Source organism: Homo sapiens, chromosome 10, assembly GCF_000001405.40.
Source record: "Homo sapiens chromosome 10, GRCh38.p14 Primary Assembly".
NCBI lineage: Eukaryota > Metazoa > Chordata > Mammalia > Primates > Hominidae > Homo > Homo sapiens.
Window position 1 is genome coordinate 38594181 of NC_000010.11, and position 19775 is coordinate 38613955.

At 46.4% G+C, this 19775-nt stretch overlaps 1 pseudogene, besides 1 other annotated feature; it reads left to right on the forward strand.

The window, feature by feature from the left end:
* Positions 1109-1610: an enhancer, noted in NCBI's record as "NANOG hESC enhancer chr10:38888420-38888921 (GRCh37/hg19 assembly coordinates)". NCBI's record gives its function as "activates a minimal SCP1, AML or CMV promoter by ChIP-STARR-seq in primed H9 embryonic stem cells {active_cell/tissue: H9 hESC(primed)}" and the evidence as "EXISTENCE:reporter gene assay evidence [ECO:0000049][PMID:30033119]".
* Positions 7236-11422, forward strand: ABCD1P2 (ATP binding cassette subfamily D member 1 pseudogene 2; annotated as a pseudogene).

A 19775-nucleotide genomic window follows, 5' to 3' on the forward strand; every position in this document is an offset into this window, starting at 1 on the left:
AATGCAATCATGAAATGGTATCACATGGAATCATATTCGCATGGAATCAAATGGAATCATCATCACATGGAATCTAATGGAATCATCATCGAATGTTATCAAAATGAAACATCAAATGGAATCGAATGGAATAAATCAAATGGAAGTGAATGGAATCATCACGGAATGGAATCGAATGGAATCATTGAATGGAATCATCATCGAATGAAATCGAAAAGAAACATCGAATGGAATCAAATGCAATCATAATCGAATGGAATCGAATGGAATCATCATCGAATGGAATTGAACGGAATCATTGAAAGGAATCGATTGGAGTAATCATCGAATGGAATCGAATGAAATCCTAGAATGGAATCGAATGGAATCATCAAAGGGAATCGAATGGAATCATCATAGAAAGGAATCGAAAGGAATCATGGAATGGAATTGAATGGCATCATAATTGCATGGAATCAAATGGAATCATCGAATGGAATCAAATGGAATCATCGAATGGAATCGAGTGGAATCACTGAATGGAATTGAATGGAATCATCATCGAATGGAATCGAATGGAATCATGGAATGGAATCAAATGGAATCAAATGGAATCGAATGGAATCATAAAATGGAATCAAATGGAATCATAATTGAATGGAATAGACTGGAATCATCATCGAATGGAATCGAATGGAATCATCAAATGGAATCGAATGGAATCATCTAATGGAATCGAATGGAGTCATCAAATGGAATCAAAAGGAGTCATCCGATGGAATCCAATGGAATCATCATCGAATGGAATCGAATGCAATCATGAAATGGTATCAAATGGAATCATCTTCTTATGGAATCGAATGGAATCATCATCACATGGAATCTAATGGAATCATCATCGAATGGTATCAAAACAAAACATCGAATGGAATTGAGTGGAATAAATCAAATGGAACCGAATGGAATCATCATCGCATTGAATCAAATGGAATCATCGAATGGAATCAAATGGAAACATAATCGAATGGAATCGAGTGGAAACATCGAATGGGCTCTAAGGGAATCATCATAGAATGGAATCGAATGGAATCATCATCGAATGGAATCGAATGGAATCATTGAATGGAATCTAATGGAATCATCATCGAATGGAATGGAATAGAATCATCATCGAATGGACACGAATGGAATCATCATTGAATGGAATAGAATGGAAATATCATCGAATGTACTGGAATGGAATCATCATCAAATGGACTCGAAAGGAATAATCACCAAATGTAATCAAATGGAATCATCATTGAAAGGAATCAAATGGAATCATCATCAAATGGAATCTAATGGAATCATCATTGAATGGAATCGAATTGAATCATCATCGAATGGAAACGAAAAGGAAAATCATTGAATGGAATCGAATAGAATCATCGAATGGACTCGAATGGAATCATCATCAAATGGAATCGAATGGAATCATCGAATGGACTCAAATGGAATCATCATCTAATGGAATTGAGTGGAATCATTGAATGGACTCGAGTGTCTGTTCTGATAGGTCTGGGGATATCTAAAGGACTCATGAAAGGCTTTTTTTCTGTGTTGCTAGAATACAGAACAGATAAGGAATGGACATTTGTAAGAAAATGCAAGGAGACCTAACAAACCACAGATGCTTAGGGCAAAAATTAGAGTTTACACATATAGTAGATCACCTTCAGCACAGCAAGAAAAGTTGGAGAAGAGTATTTCAAAAACTAAGACATACAAAATCATTCACATACATGGGAGAGTCTAGAAAGTCACTTGTATTCATAGGTTAAGCCACATGCTGACAAATGTCATAAACAGACCCTACACTTTTACCTTGGCCAATCCCTCCCCTCCGTGCAAGCTCTGTGCATAAGTGAACTTGAACTTTACTCAGTGAAAGAGTGAACACACACTTTGTGCAGCTTTAAAGAACCCAGCACAAAGCCAGTCTGCATGGCCTAGAGACATATTTTGCTGGACAACGATTCCTTGTTTTTCTTTTTGTTTATCTTGTATTTGCCTGTTTGATTGGTTCCTGACATACAAGAAAATCACTGTCAAAACATTAGCTTAACATTTGTTATGGAAACAAAAAGACTTTGGTGACCACACCTTATAAAGCAAACAGTTTTGTAAATCACTTTGGAAAATTTCACTAAAAAAAAATCCTTAACAATATAATAAGTAAAGAAAATTTAAAACCACAAAACATTACTGTGTTTGTAGGGGGGGCCTGATTTACAGAGTAACCACATAGTAATTATAATTATTATAATGTACAGTTTTCAAAAAAAGTTACAAGGCATACAAAGAATGGGAAAGTATGGCTCATTGAAAGGAACAAAACAAATTGACAGAGAATATCTCTAAGGGAATCCAGACATCAAACTTACTAGACAAAGACTTTAAAACAACTCTCTTCATTATACTCAAATGTCAAAAGGAAAACATAAACAAAGAAATCAAGGAATCAGAACAAATATTAAAAAGTAGGAATATCAACAGAGATAGCAGAAATTCTGGAGTGGAAAACTACAACGATAAAAATTTAAAAATCACCAGAGGGATTTAAGAGTATATTTGCACACACAGAAGAAGTCATGAGCTTGAAGATAAGAAAATGGAAAACATTGACTCAGAAACAGATAAAAAATGAGCAGAGACTAAGGAATCTGTGGGACATCATCAAATAGACCAACATTCATATTCTAGAAGGATAAATTATGTTGTTGAAAACTTTAGCATTCCTTCTTTTCACCTTTCTTTCTTCCTCCCTCCCTTTCCTCCTCCTTTTTACTTTTCTTCCTCTTCCTTTCTCTTCTTCTGTCTCTCCTTCATTATCCCTTTCACTCTTTTTCTCTTTCTCCCTTTCTCTTTTTTCTTTTCTTTCAATTATCTCAATTACTAAGAGATGTTTAAATACCCTTGCCATGTGAGTTGATATGGTTATTTCTCCCTTTAGTTCTCTTTTGAGATTTATAGTCACTCTAAGTAAAGAGATAACCCAAACATAAGCCTCACAAACAGGCTTCCATACCATTCTTAATTTGGTCCTGTAATTCTTCATTGCTGTATTAACTTTCTGATGCTTTTAAGGATGTTTTATAACAAATTGTTTAGTTTTTTCCACTGGAATGTTTATACTGAATTATCTAATTCATATTGTAAGTATATAGGGAGTTTAATATAAAATTATTAAACTGATATTTGTGAAAGAATATTTTTCATAAATTTGAAAGTGAGAAGTTTTAAGCTTGTCATTCCCAAGTAACCCTCTTAATGAGAGGCATCAGCATGCTTCAGTGACAGCTGTCATCTTCCAGTGCTGAGAGTCATCTTTGAGTTCTCCATTTCACTCCCTACACTCCAATTTAGCTGCAGTTCTCTTGGCCAGTCCTATGAAATACATCCATGACCTAACGACTTCTCACCACTACTACCACTCATACTGACAGCATTCTCACCTAAGTCACTACCTTTTTTCTCTGGATTACAGTAGCCTCCCAATTTATTTGCTCACATAACCTATTTATTCTACACAGTGCACCAGATACACCCCTTTGAAATGCAAACACAATCATGTTATTCTCTGGTGAAATTATCTCATATATTCCTATCGCATTTAAAATTAATTCAGAATAATCCCATGATTATCAAAACCCTACATGCTCTTCCACAACATGGTTTACTTCCAAGATATCTCTTCAACTTTTTTTTCACTGTACTGAATTTGTGACTAATAGTCATATTTTTGTTTTTGTTTTTGCTCAAAAGAATTTCAGAACGAATGACTTTGGGATCAGAAAGCCACCATTCTAATTGATGGTTCCACGACTACACGGGCTCACACTCCTAAGAGCAAAAGTAAATCATCACAAAGGTGCTTTCTGATAGTTCTAGAGAATGGAGAATTACTGTAACATCTTTCTGATTTTAGGAGAGGTAGCAGTTCCCTTTTTAGTCTAAACGCTATTTTTTTTAAAGCTCAGCCAAGAGAATCCATTATAATTTTCAAATGTGTGTAACTTAAATTCTCATATGAAATACCACTATGCTTAAATTAGTCAAAACATTTTCCCCATCTACAACTCTATCTTGTCATTGCAATCATTTTCACAAAACTGACTGCAGCTCACAGACCCTAAAAGGAGAAAATCCAGGGCAGGTTATCTGATCTAGTTAGTTTCGAAGACAGGATCCAGAGATTATTTAATATGTAATAGGTCACCTGAAATGTTTACTGAAAACAGCTTGGATCAGCCCAGTTTTCTACCACTGAACTATGCATTTGCTTTAAAAAACACAACTCTGGGGAATATTGGCTGCTTCCAACTGTGTTGAAGGTGTTAAAGAAAAGAGCATAAAATTAAAAATGATCATCTGAGGCCTTTATAGTCTCTGCTCAAGAGACTAGAGTCTTCCATTCTTAACAAAACACCCAAATATCTTCATAATTGGGCAAAATTTAAATATCAGAGATAATTTTATCTTGAAGATTGTTAAATTATAATGGTGAGTCACTACCTTGCCACGTCTCTAAGTCAAAAATTAGGTCTTTGTTTAGGAATCAATGGTACTCTGCAACTTGGAAATAGGAAGATTTTAGAGGACTCAAACACTGACTTTCTTGTGTGCAAAAAAAAGACAAGTCTTTCCTTGCAAGGATACCTCTAATGCTCATACACCACCTCCCCTAACGTTAATATAGCTTCCAGGTCACTAACCAGTGTCAGAGAGCAGCCCATGCAACTAGAAATTCAAAAGATGTCGAACACAGGGTCAAGCCTAGAATAAGAAGTCTTAGCTAATTAAGTATGCTTTTTTCCCCAAATTCATATTAACAAAAACTTGGATGTCAGAGAATGCATTCTAAGTTCACTCAATGTAGGAGGGAGAAACATAATTTTAAATTAAGAGCTGAAGCATTCTTGTCCTATCAGAAAGCAAGGAAAACAAAATATCACACCACAGGAGGGATTTCACAAATTAGTGTCAACATCAAAACCTTAAAATAGTCAAGGAGAATGCAGATTCACAATGAACTCTTGTACTTGTTTTGTTCAGAGAAGAGATGGTTCTGAGAGAATGACAGTGAACTAACCCCAGCTGGTTTAGTTGGTGCTTTCAACTGCTGCTTCTGATAAACTCCTTTAGCTAGAATAAATTGACGAGGATTTTGGCATGTGGTATTAGAGATGGTTATTAATTTTTTTCCTCTTATTTGCATTGTTCAATATAGTAAATACTAGCTGTATATGGCTACTTCAATTCAGATTAATTACAATGAAATATACTTAAATATTGAATTTTTTAGTCACTGTTGGTTCATTATTGAATATCTTCAGCTAAGATTTCCCATCTAAATACACTAAGAGGTGGCTTAGTTAACTGGTCGTCCACAAATATTAAAGCTGTTGTTAACTCCTGATATATTCTCTGCAAAGAGAATATTCATGAGCCTCCTCCTGAAATCAGCAGCCTAGAGATAGTTTTATAAATTTGATACAAGTTAGAAATCTATACTCTTTAAGTTTTTGAAATATTAGCTTCCCAGGGAAGAAAATCAAATTCATAAGATATGTTAGGACAATTTAACTCAAGATGTTCAAAACTGAAATGACATATTCTACAATATGTGATAAAACCACCCCCTAACAACTTAAAGCAAAATAGGGATTGACCTTAAAGACCTGCCTTTTCCTCATCCTCCAGCCAATCAGTTTTCAAATCTTGCATTTTATTTTGAAAGGTCCTTATCCCCCTGGTCTCTTGTTTCTAGACTTGGCACATATTTAAGTTTGTTACCGCTATCTACTGACTTTTCTCTCTTCAAACAGTATCTATGCCTGCCAAATGTGAACACACAAAAAACAAATCAGAATGTGCCATTCTGATTTAAACTGCTTATTAGTTAATACCCTCAAGATAACATCTGGGTTCTTAGCTGCAATGAGTCAAGCCTACTTACATCTTTTTTTGTGTTTGGCTGCACATTTCCTATCACATCACACTCCAGCAATGCCAAGCTGTGCCAGCCTTCTACCCCATCTCCACTATTTTGTCCTCCGCCGCCGCAGCTTTTTGCCTGCCCCGGCTTTTTGCCCCCTCGCCGCCGCGGCTTTTTACCTGCCGCGGCTTTTCGCCCCCCGCCGCCGCGGCATTTTGCCCCTGCCGCCGCAGGTTTTTGCCCCCCCCGCCGCCGTGGCTTTTTCCCCCCACCCCGCCTCGGCTTTTTGCCCGCCCTGGGTTTTTGCCCCCCTGCCGCCGCAGCTTTTTGCCCCACAGCCGCCGCGGCATTTTCCCCGCCGTGGCTTTTTCCCCCCTGCCTCCGTGGCTTTTTACCCGCTGCGGCTTTTTGCCCCCACCCTGCCTTGGCTTTTTGTCCGCCACGGCTTTTTGCTCCCCGTCGCCGCGGCTTTTTCCTCACCCGGCTTTTTAGCCCCCGCCACGGTGTCTTTTTGCCCCCACCCCGCCTCGGCTTTGTGCCCCCCTCCCGGCCGCGGCTTTTTGCCCGCCGTGGCTTTTTGCCCCCCGCCGACGCGGCTTTTTGTCCTCCGTTGACGCGGCTTTTTGCCCCCCGCCGCGGCTTTTTGCCCCCTGCCGCCGCGACTTTTTACCCGTCGCGGCTTTTGCCCCTGCCTGCTGCGGCATTTTGTCCCCCGCCCCCGCAGCTTTTTGCCCCCCGCCGCCGCGGCTTTTTGCAGCCCCCCGGTGCTGCCATGGCTTTTTGTCCGCCGCGGCTTTTTGCCCCTCCGCCGCCGTGGCTTTTTGTCGCCGCTGCTTTTTGCCCGCTCCAGCTTTTTGCACAACCGCCGCCGTGGCTTTTTGGCCGACCCGGGTTTTTGCCCCCCCGCCGCCGTGGCTTTTTCCCTGCCGTGGCTTTTTACCCCCTGCCCCCGCGGCTTTTTACTCTCCGTGGCTTTTTGCCCCCACCCCGCCTCGGCTTTTTGCCCCCCCGCCTACGCGGCTTTTTGCTGCCGTGGCTTTTTGCCCGCCGTGGCTTTTTGCCCCCGCCACCTTTGCAACCTTAATTTCACTTGAAATCTAATTTCCCACTGCCAAGCCACCTAACATATTTATATGTTAGACTCTGGGAATTAGGACATGAACGTTTTTGGGGGGCCATTATTTTGTCTACAGCAGACAGAATCTACACTGCCTGGGAGGCGCAGAGTATCTTGGGGGAGGCAGGGCCGGCCCTTCCCTCCGTGGACACCCAGGTTTCCCACAGGCCCTACATGTCTGTGGGATCCCTGCGTGACCAGGTGATCTACCCGGACTCAGTGGAGGACATGCGAAGGAAGGGCTACTCGGAGCAGGACCTGGAAGCCATCCTGGATATCGTGCACCCACACCACATCCTGCAGTGGGAGGGAGGTAGGAGGCCTGGGGCTGGCAGCCGCCCTTTGTCCCACCCTGGCCTCTCCCTTGGCCTCCAGGGAGGGAAGATTATCTCAACATCCAGGAGTCTAAAGTGCCAGGTGCCACAGGGGCAGGGCAGAGGGTGCTACCTCTGAGGCCCGCCTACCAGGGAGGACCAACACCACACAGATGGTCCCAGGTGGCATGGGTGCTCTAGGGAAGGGGGCACCTAGCAGGGATGCGCACCTCATTGGGGGACCCAGGATACCCTCTCCCAGAAAAAAGGGGTCTGAGCTGAGCCCTGCAGAATGCTAAGTGGTTACCCCATCCAGGAGCCAGGGGCAGCAGGGCAGAGTGTGGCCCGAAGGCTTGGTGGTGTGAGAGGCTGGCTCACAGAGGGCCCTCCGGACCAGGCGGGAGCCTAGGCATTCCCTGAGCAGGATCAGACGCTCTTCGAAGGACCATGGGGCGGTGGGCAGGGGCAGCCTGGGAGGGGCAGGCACATGTGTGCAGTGATAGCTACTGTCAGGAGGTCTGTGCAGATGCTTGGAGGGGGCTGGGGTCAGCAGAGTCGGGTGGATTCAGAGATGAGTTCACTGAAAAGGAGGCCAGACTGAGCTGTTTTCTTGTCCTGGGCTTATCAAGGAATACTGCTTGTCCACAGTGTCTGTCGGGCCGGGAGAGCGGAGGAGGAGAGGGGGGTGCAGCTACAGGGACACAGTAGATGGAAAGTTCAGTTCTGTCTTTGAATTCTGAGCCTCTGGGTTCTGCTTCCAGCCCCCACTGCTGGGTGCGAGATGGCCCTGGGCAAGGACCTCGCCTTGCTGGAGCTCCCCTTCATGGTTCAAGGGCACAGGCACCAAGCCCTCCCTCGGTGGCAACATGAGAAAAAGTGGCTCCTGCAGGAAATGACCAGGGTGTTGTCACCTGCCTGTGGAGGAAGCGGGAACACAGGTGGCGATGGTGGTGGAGCAGCCCCTGGCCAGGCCCTGCCTCTTGCTCCTGCTGCCCTTGGCCTGGGAGCATATGGCCTCTCCCACCTCTGTGGCAGCCTGAATGCCCAGGGCCTGTGGCCGGCCAGCATGAGCCGTTAGGATGGAGTTGAGCTGCAAGGAACAGAACCAGCCTCCCCACAGTAGTGGCTAAGATCATCTGTGAGTTTATCCTACTGAGCTGTTAGGTCCCAAGAGAGCCAGGCCACGGTTGCCAGGGCAGGCCCTGCTCTGTGAAGACCCCAAGGCTCTAGGATTTTCGACCATGTCGCTCTGCTGTGTGTGGCCTCCATTCCCAAAGTCACCTCATGATCCAGGAGGGCTGCTGCAGCCCTCACATCATGTCCCAGGCTGTAGGATGGAGGAAGTAGAAGGGAAGGGGCAAAAGGTATGTGCCTTCTGTCTTTTAAGGAAGGTTCCAGAAACCGCCATATTGAATACTTACAGTTATATCTTATTGACCACAACTTAGTCTCATGCTCACACCTCACCACAAGGCCACCTGGGAAGCGTAATCTCTACTCTGGGTGGCCATATACCATGTCGCCACTTCTAGCCCTGGGCCGCTGGGGAAGGCAGCATGGGCGAGAAGACAGGAGGGGCCACTTCTGCCACAGTCCCCCGGCTAATGGAGCAGCCGGCTCACCTGCTTGTTCAAGCAGCCCACTCGAGCCTTGCCAAAGTGCTGGCACGGGGCAGTGACAGGAGGCCCAACCCCTGTGGGTGACAAGCCCCCGGTCTGGGGAGAGCACTCAGGCCGCTCTGGAGCTCTGTGCCAAGGAACTGTATGGTTGTCCTGGGGCTGCCATAAACCACAGGGGTGGATCATCTCCTAGCTCCAGCAGTCCGAGATCCTGGTACCAGCAGGGTGGGTTCCTTCCGGGTGCCATGACAGAAGGATGTGTTCCAGGCCTCTGTCCTCGGCTCGCAGATGGTCCACTTCTCCCTGTATATCTTCACCTCGTGTTCCCCTGTGCACGTCCTCTGCTCGCACACCCCCTTTTTATGAGGACACAGTCATATTGAATTAGGGTCCACTCTGATGACCTCATCTTAGTGTGATCACCTCTGCAAAGGACCTATCTCCAAATAAGGTCACACTAAAGTGTTGGGGCTTGGACTCCACCATATCTCTTCTGGGGGAAGGCATGATTCCAGTCCCCACTCCTCCATGATTAATGCCTGTCAGACAGATAAGGACGCAGAGGCACAGGGGCCCTGTCGTCACAGCTAGCCCATTCCCGCAGCTCCCCAGCTCCCCGGCTGGCCCCCAGGTCTGGGTACTGGTGGAACTGAGCCAAGACCATTGCCCCTTCCTAGGTTGGGAGGCTATGTGTGACTGGAAGGACATCCTGCCAGGTGGTGAGAAGCAGAGAATCGGCATGGCCCGCATGTTCTACCACAGGTGAGCACTCCAGGCTGGCAGCCTCCCTGGGGTCCCCTGGAAGGAGAAGTAGCAGCTGTGGGGAGGCCTGGGCTCAGTGGAGCCTGAGCCGGGCTGGGGTGTTGGGCCCTGGAGGGTGCACAGACTCTTCTCTCGGACCGGACCCACAGGCCCAAGTACGCCCTCCTGGATGAAGGCACCAGTGCCGTGAGCATCGACGTGGAAGGCAAGATCTTCCAGGTGGCCAAGGACGCAGGCATTGCCCTGCTCTCCATCACCCTCCAGCCCTCCCTGTGGTAGGTGCCCTGTCTCCCTGCCTGGGGTCAGTGGGAGTGGCTGCCTGAGGGGAGGAGGTGGCCTGTTGGGCCAGGCGGCAGCAGCAGGCGGCTGTCATCATCAGCCCTCGTGCCGTGCCCCTGACCCTGTCCCTCTCCTGGCCAGGGAGTACCACACACACTTGCTACAGTTCGATGGGGAGGGTGGCTGGAAGTTCGAGAAGCTGGACTCAGCTGCCCACCTGAGCCTGACAGAGGAGAAGCAGCGGCTGGAGCAGCAGCTGGCGGGCATTCCCAAGATGCAGCGGCACCTCCAGGAGCTCTGCCAAATCCTGGGCGAGGCCGTGGCCCCAGCGCACGTGCCGGCACCTAGCCTGCAAGGCCCTGGTGGACTCCAGGGTGCCTCCACCTGACCCCACCCTCTCCAGCCCCTTCCCCGCCCCCAAGCTCGAATCACATGAAGGAGACAGCAGCACCCACCTGCGCACGCACCCCGCCCCTGCATGCCTGGCCCCTCCTCTTAGAAGACCCTTCCCGACCTCGGGAAAGTAGATGTGGAGGGTGGCACCCTGCGTAACCCTAGCCCTGTCCCTCCCACTCCCTGGGGGGGCTATTCCACAGTGGCTGGGCCCTGTCCAAGGCAGTGAGTCCTCTACTTTGCTCCGTAGAGGAAGCTGGGGTACAAGGGGCCCAGTGCTGGCCACACAGCAGCGCAGCCGAGTCCCAGGAGCCCCTCAGGCCACAGCCCCTGGTGCTGCAGGTGGCCTCCCTCCTCGTCAGTCTCTCAAAGACCCCATGGTCCATCCCCTGAGGGTGGCCAGCCAAGGCTCCCATCCCGTGCGATGCCATAAAAGCCGCCCAGTGGTACCCACGGTCACACGGAGCGCCTCACCTGCATCCTCTCCCCCACAAGAGCCCCGAAGATCCCATGGGAGAGGGACACACAGCACTGCCTGCCAAGAGAGAATGTAGGCCCCGCCCCCTCGGCCCCTCACCTCCTCTTTCTACAGTCTAATTTATTGGATTACCTATTCATAGCCATCTCTGTGGCCAATGTGACTACCCTGCCAGCAGCGGGGACGGCCCAGCCTCTGAGTACCCTGGGGCCCCGGCTCCCACTGGTGCCAAACCCAGCCCCTGTGGCCGTCACCCCGCCAGCCTACACTGCCAGCCACCACCTGGCCACACGGACCTTTGCTTGCTAGCGGAGAGTGCGGACACCATGTTCCCAGCTCAGTACCAAAGAGGGGTCACCAGGGGGAGCTGTCTGCAGAGCCAGCACCTGCCCGAGAGAGACCCCACCGCCACCTTGTGCCTTTCCCGGGCCCTCAGCCTTCAGGCTGGGCGCCATCCCGAGTCCCCCCCCCGTAAAAGCCTCCATTGGCAAATGCAGTCCTTCCCCCCTGCCTCAGAGTCTGGTGGTGTCTGCTGCGGGTCTTGGGGAGAGATGGAGGAGAGAGAGTGGGTTGCCTGTGGGGGAAAGAGTGAGTTTGGGAAAGGAGTGGGCCTGACCCCCAAGCCCCTCCGTGGGGGAAAGTCACCAGAAGACATGGTCCAACGTGCCCTCCATCGAGCCTCACGCCAATGCTCTTAGGATTCCTGTGACGGTGGCAGGGCAGAACCTGCAACAACATTGCACAGAAATACTGGCTGAGCCCAAATAGGACTAGGGGAGGGGATCATGCTGGTCCCTGTGGGAAGAGCACGAAGGCAAGAGAAGGGATGTCTAAGCTGCCACACAGGGTGCTGCTGGCCCTTCTAGGGAGAGGAGGCCACTTGTGCAGGGGCCTTGGGGGAACTGGGAGCACAGTGCAGGGTGTTCCTGCTGCATGCAGGGGAAGGGAGGGCAAGGGAATGGAGGGCTGTGGCCGGCGGGCCTTGGAGGCCACACTACAGAGACAGGACTTAGCCCAGAGGCCACTGAGGAGCTTTCAGTAACAGGGAAGCAGTGTCGAGTACTGCAGGCCACGTGGCTGCATTTGAGGGTGGCTGGTGGGAATAGGGTGCGGCAGCCCATCTGGCCTCGGAGGCATGAGAACTGAGAACAGCTGTACGGCCATACCTTTATGCATGGATGGCCATAGCCTCCCAAAGGTGGGACAGCCTGAGTGTTCATCAACAGACAAATGGAGAAACAGCCTGTCCATAAGGCGCGGTGCCATTCCACCATAACACGACGGATAGACCTCAAAGAGTTCATGCTGGGTGAAAGAAGCCAGACACAAATGTCCAGAATAGGCTCATCGGGACAGAAAGCAGATGAGTGGGTTTCAGGGGCTGGGGCAGGGGAAGGAAAATGGGGCAGGGGCAGTCCTTTTTAAGAAATTTTGTATTTATATTTTATTTTTTAATGAGACAGACAGGGTCTCACCCTGTCACCCAGGCTGGAGTGCAGTGGCGCAGTCATAACTCACGGCAGCCTTGATCTCCCGGGCTCAAGCAATCCTGCCCCAGCCTCCTGAGTAGCTGGAACCACAGGCGTGTGCCACCATACCCTGCTAATTTTGTGATTTTTTTTTTTTTGTAGACAGGATCTCACTATGTTGCCCAGGCTGGTCTCAAACTGCTGAGCTCAAGCGATCGCCCTGCCTCAACCTCCCACAGTGCTGGATTATAGGTATGAGCCACCACACCCAGCCTCAGGTTTCTTTTTATTTTGAAGAAAATGTTCTGGAACTATAGAGCATACTAAATGCCACTGAATTGTGCACTTTAAAGGGATTGATTGTATATTTTGTAAATATCGCCTCAAAAACAGACAGATAGATGACTGATGGATAAATAGATACATAGATATATAGATATACAGACATGATATAGACAATTGATCAATAGATGATGGGTGATTCATAGGTGCTAACTGATAGATAAAATACACGATAGATACATGGATAGATGAATAGAGAGAGATGATAGATGATTTAAAAAAATTTTTTAGAGATGAGATCTCGCTATCTTGCCCAGTCTGGACTTGATCTGCTAGCATCAAGCAGTCCTCCTGCTTCAGCCTCCTGAGTTACTGGGACTACAGACACATGCTACTGTGCCTGGTGATAGATAAATTATTGAAAGATAGACATGATAGAGGCATAAATGATAGATAGATGGATAGACATGATAAAGGGTGGATAGGAAGATACATGGGATAGATCAATGATTGATTATAGAAGTAAATGATATAGATTAATAGATTATTGATTATAGATTAATAGGTGGATACCTGATTGATAGATGATTGATCGATTGTTTGGTTGACTGATGGAGAGAGACAGAGAAGCAAGCATAGCCATTGCAGCCACCCAGACAAGACTTGCTGAGGACTGGAGTTCCAGAAGTTTCGAGCAGTTGGAAGAACTTGACAGGCATGGGGGCAGCTTCTTCAGGGAGTAGAGGGGGCAGCAAGATACCACTGGGTTCTGGTTGGAAGGTTAGGTGAGCGACAGCACCCTTGGTGGACAGAGGCAGCTCCAAAGGAGGGGAAGGCCTGGGGAGCAGGTGCAGCCCGAGGGGATGGTGCGTAGGCAGTTGGTTCAGAGCCTGGGGCTCCTCAGTGGGACATGGGTCAGCAGGGAGGCCAGTGGTCATTAAAGTTTGGATGGAGACAGCATGGCTGAGGGGAGGGGCATGCTTGGCATCTCATTTAGGGGACAGGAGGTAGACTGTTTACCTGTATTTTGAGATTAGGATTTATTCCTGATCCCAGGAGGTGGCCTATTCGGAGGGCTGGGAGTTGTTCCTCCATTTCTTTTGATGATTGTGTAAGTCGCCCATGCTTGATCATAAACCCTTTTTGTTTATTTTTGACACATAGCTGGAATAGCTCTAATTACTAGAGACAGAAGGAGACACATCTGGCAAAGACCATCCAAAAGGAAGCTAGTGGAGAGAAGCTCATATCTCACAAAGTAGGCTCCAGGGCAAAATCATTATTAGGATTAAAAGTGATTGCAGCATACGGATGTATTCATTCCAAAGCATTCACTGGTGGGGGAGGGGTGGGGGAAAAAGAATAAATACATAAATAATTTAATTATTTTAAAAGAAGTATTAGTGGCCAGGCATGGTGGCTCACGCCTGTAATCCCAGCATTTTGGGAGGCCAAGGTAGGCAGATCACCTGAGTTCAGGAGTTCGAGACCAGCCTAAACAACATGGTGAAACCCTGTCCCTACTGCAGTACAAAATTAGCCAGGCGTGGTGGCTCATGCCTGTAGTCCCAGCTACTAGAGAGGCTGAGGCAGAACTGCTTGAACCTGGGAGGCGAAGGTTGCAGTGAGCCAAGATCAAGCCATTGCACTCCAGCCTGGTTGACAGGAAAAAAAAAAAAAAAAAAAGAAGAAGCATTAGCCATTCTGATCTTGTGTGCACCTGCATAATGATAGAGCCTCAGATGACTACAAAACAAAAAAGTGACAAGAAAAGGAAAAATTAATAAATGAGCACCTTCTCCACACAGGAAATTATACCACTTCTCACTGGAACTGCTGGTTTAAGCAAACTCAATTAGGAAGAATATAGAAAAATTGGGCCAGGCATAGTGTTTCATGCTTGTAATCCCAACACTTTGGGAGGCGAAGGCAGGCAGATTACTTGAGGTCTGGAGTTTGAGACCAGCTTGGCCAACATGATGAAACTAAAATAAAAAATACAAAAATGAGCCAGATGTGGTGGCTCATGCCTGTAATCCCAGCTACTCGGGTGGCTAAGGCAGGAGATTCACTTGAACTTGAGGTTTCAGTGAGCTGAGATCATGCCCCTGCACTCCAGCCTGGGCAACAGAGTGAGACTCTGTCAAAAAATAAAAATAAAAAGAATATGGAAAAGTTGAACAAACTTGATTTAGTGGACACCCAAAAACTACAGACCACACATTGTTTTCAAGTTCACCTTGGACATTTACCAACACTCACCATGTCCTAGGCTGCAAAACAAGACTCAACAAATAGCAAAAGAACTTGCATCACACCAGCCATGTTCTTGATGTAACAGAATAAAGGCATAAATTGGCAACCAAACTAAAATTAAGGGTTCCCCTATGTTTGGAAATTTAAAGATACACTACTGGCCAGGCACGGTGGCTCACACCTATAATCCCAGAGCTTCGGGAGGCCAAGGCAGGAGGATCCCTTGAGCCCAGGAGTTCAAGACCAGCCTGGGCAACATAGTGAGACCCCCCATCTCTATAAAACTAAATTAAATTATTTTTTAAATTAAAAAAATAAAAAATAATGCACTGGTCCGAGAAGAATTAGAATGAAAATCTAAAAGCATTTAGAACCGAACAATGAAAACTATGTACAAAAGCTTAAGCCATGTAGCCCAAGCAGTACTACAAGGAAATTTGAAAAAAAAAAGTGTGGCCAGGCGCGGTGGCTCATGCCTGTAATCCCAGCACCTCGGGAGGCCAAGGCGAGCAGATCACCTGAGGTCAGGAGTTAGAGACCATCCTGGCCAACGTGACGAAACCCCATCTTTACTAAAAATACAAAAATTAGCTGGGCGTGGTGGTGAGCACCTGTAATCCCAGCTACCTGGGAGGCTGAGGCAGGAGAATTGCTTGAAACTGGAAGGTGGAGGTCGCATTGAGCTGAGATCGTACTGCTGCACTCCAGCCTGGGCAAGAAGAGTGAAACTCCATCTCAAAAAAAAAAATTGTAAAAAATAGAAATAATATTATGAAGTACAGAGGGATCTCCCTGCAGGCACCACTGGGAGCTGAAACATCAGGGGCACCTGGGGGGTGAAAGACATGAGTGGGAACAACTTCAGCCCTTGCTTCTCCTCCAAACACCACTAAAAGGAATGCAAAGGGATTGCAGATGTAAAAGGGAAGAGTTCACAGCAGAGAGTGAGAGGAGCGCCTGCCAGGAACATCACAGAAGCTGGAAAACAAGTTAGGGAGTGATAACTGATTCAAAGGATCAGCGTGAACTTGGAAAAAAGTGGTGGGAAGCACCAAGGGCACAGGCCCACAGAGGAAAGGCCACGTGAGGCCACCACCCAGAAGATAGGACTTGGAAGAAACCAACCCTGCTGGCACCGTGATCCTGGGCTTCCAGCCTGCAGGACTGTCAGACCATTACGGTGTTGGACTGACACTGTAAAGAAAGAAGTAGTGATAGCACACATGGTTGTCTCACTCCAGTTCTAAAAGGGGGAAGGATGCCGGGTGTGGTGGTCTCCAGAAGGCCCTTCCATGTTTCTCTGTGGCACCCACAGTGCCTGGATGTCAGCACTGGGAGAAACCGCCTCCAAATTCATCTGTAAAATCCGAGCATCAGTGAGCTCAACTCTCCCGCTTTCTCAGCTCTCTGTTTCCATTAGGTTTGGTTGATCTGGGTCAGGGCCAGCATCAGAGGTAAATCCAAAGCTGTTCTCTGTGCACTGACCTCTTGTCCCTTCTCTTACATGTCTGCCATGTCCACTAGCCTGTGAGCTTCAGGAGACAAAGGAGCATGTTTCTTCTTCCTGATACCCCTGAAACTTGCACAGTACATGCTATAAAATGCAGATTCAATGAGGGATCTTTGCAATACAATTTTGAGAAAGAATCATGAACCAGGATTTAGCGTCTCTTCCCATCAAACCCCAGGCCCATAGAGCAATTGCCTTTACCTGTGATGCACACCTCCTACCTGTCCTCCCCGCAGCCCGGCATCTCTGTCCTGCAGACCAAACACAAAACTCATTGCCATCCCTCTTCAACCTGGCTTCCTTTCTGACTTCCCTTCAGGTGCCCCAGGCAGAACCATGGGGATCATCTGACCCTCTGTCTGCCTCATCCTTCCCTATCCCACCAGTCCATGTCCTACTGACTCAGTCCTTAAAGTCCCTCTCGCTCCCCACCGGATCCTCAGTGTCTGGTAGTACGGCGCCTGACATGGGAGGTACACAGCGACCACTAGGTGAATACAAGAATGATGTGATTGGCCAGGCGCAGTGGCTCATGCCTGTAATCCCAGCACTTTGGGAGGCCGAGGCAGGCGGATCACGAGGTGAGGAGATCGAGACCATCCTGGCTAACAGGGTGAAACCCGGTATCTACTAAAAATACAATTCTGGTCATGCGCAGGTACTATTCATCAAGAAAGGTATTACAACATCAGAAATGTGTTCAAAATGTATCCGTACTTTGACATATTAATGAAGTAATCACATTCTACACAAAACTACTCCATATGGAATATTGGGGAGGGGGTGTTCCAAATAAAGAGACTGAGGATTTCTCATGAGAACTCAGTGTCTGCTAGAAAATATCTAAGTAAAATATTTTACTTATGCAGAAAGTGTGGATGTTTGTGCATCAAAAGTTTCAAGAATCCCTAAAATGTACAATGGAGATGAGGAGAAAATATCAGAATTTCCCAGCACCAGAAATGAGGCAAGAAAAAATTCAGAGGAGTTGTAAATGTGAAAAGCCAATGGCTGGTCACACAGCAACATTGAAAACCTTGTGCCAGGACAACTAGAATAAATACATAAACATACAGATTGAAAATATTTCCAAATATTAGATCTCCCTCATGTGAGAATTAAATTATAAAGATTGAAGCATATAATAAGCTACCAGAATTTAGGCTACCAGAATAAATTCGATTACACATAAATTTCTGACATTGAAATTGTCACAAATGTTTAAGTTGGTAATGGAAGACAAAGGACATATAATCTTGGGAGTCCTAGGGCCCTGCCCACTGGCAGTGCCTCCACACTACTACAGCTGATGCTTTCTGGAAAACACCACCTCCTGGCAGTAGGCCAACCAGCACAAATATAGAGCATTAAACCACTAAAGCTAAGGACCCTCACAGAGTCTACTGCACCCTTCATCACATCCACTGGAACAGGCGCTGGTATCCATGGCTGAGAGACCCCTAGATGGTTCACATCACAGGGCTGTATGCAGACAACCTCTAGTACCAGCCCAAAGCCAGGTAGACCTGCTGGGTGGCTAGACCCAGAAGAGAGACAACAATCAATGCACTTCGGCTCACAGGAAGCCATGCCCATAGGAAAAGGGGGAGAGTACTATGTCAAGGGAACACTCCGTGTGACAAAAGAGTCTGAACAACAGTCTTCAGCCCTAGACCTTTCCTCTGACAGAGTCTACCAAAATGAGAAGGAACCAGAAAACCAACCCTGGTAATCTGACAAAACAAGACTCTTCAACACCCCCCAAAGAATCACACCAGTTCATCACCAATGGATCCAAACAAAGAAGAAATCACTGATTTATCTGAAAAAGAATTCAGGTTAGTTATTAAACTAATCAGGGAGGGGCCAGAGATAGGTGAAGCTCAATGCAAGAAAATCCAAAAAATGATACAATAAGTGAAGGGAGAAACATTCAAGGAAATAGATAGCTTAAATAAAAAAAAAATCAGGAAACTTTGGATGCACTTTTAGAAACGTGAAATGCTCTGGAAAGTCTCAGCAATAGAATTGAACAAGTAGAAGAAAGAAATTCAGAATTTGAAGACAAGGTCTTTGATTTAACCCAATCCAATAAAGACAAAGAAAAAAGAATAAGAAAATATGAGCAAAGCCTCCAAGGAGTCTGGCATTCTGTTAAACGATGAAACCTAAGACTAATTGGTGTACCTGAGGAAGAAGTGAATTCTAAAAGCCGGGAAAACATATTTGGGGGAATAATCAATGAAAATTTCCATGGCCTTGTGAGAAACCTAGACATCCAAATACAAGAAGCACAAATAACACCTGGGAAATTCATCACAAAAAGATCTTAGCCTAGGCACATTGTCATTAGGTTATCCAAAGTTAAGACAAAGGAAAGAGTCTTAAGAGCTGTGAGACACAAGCACTAGGTAACCTATAAAGGAAGACCTATCAAACTAACAGCAGATTTTGCAGCAGAAACCTTACAAGCTAGATGGAATTGGGGTCTTTTCTTCAGCCTCCTCGAACAAAACAATTATCAGCCAAGAATTTTGTATCCAGCAAAACTAAACATCATATATGAAGGAAGGATACAGTCATTTTCAGACAAACAAATGCTGACAGAATTTGCCATTACCAAACCAGCACTGTAAAAACTGCTGAAAGCTCTAAATCATGAAACAAATCCTGGAAACACATCAAAACAGAACTTCATTAAAGCATAAATCACACAAGACCTATAAAACAAAAACACAAGTCAAAAAGCAAAAACAGAAAACAAAAACAATGTACAGAGGCAACAAAGAGCATGATGAAAACAATGGTACCTCACTTTTTGATAGTAATGTTGGTTGTAAATGGCTTAAATGCTCCACTTACAAGATACAGAACCACAGAATGGATAAGAACTCACCAACTAACTATCTGCTGCCTTCAGGAGACTCACCTAACACATAACAACTTACATAAACTTAAGGAAAGTGGTAGAAAAAGGCATTTCATGCAAATGGACACCAAAAGCGAGCAGCGATAGCTATTCTCATATGAGGAAAAACAAACTTCAAAGCAACAGTAGCTAAAAGAGACAAAGACAGACAGTATATAACGGTAAAGGCCTCATCCAACAGAAAAATATGACAATCCTAAACATACATGAACCTAATACTGGAGCTCCCAAATTTATAAAACAATTACTAGTAGACATAACAAATGAGATAGACAGCAACACAATAATAGTGGGGGCCTTCAATATTCCACTGACAGCACTAGACAGGTCATCAAGACAGAAAGTCAACAAAGAAACACTGGATTTAAACTATACTTTGGAACAAATGGACTTAACAGATATATACAGAAC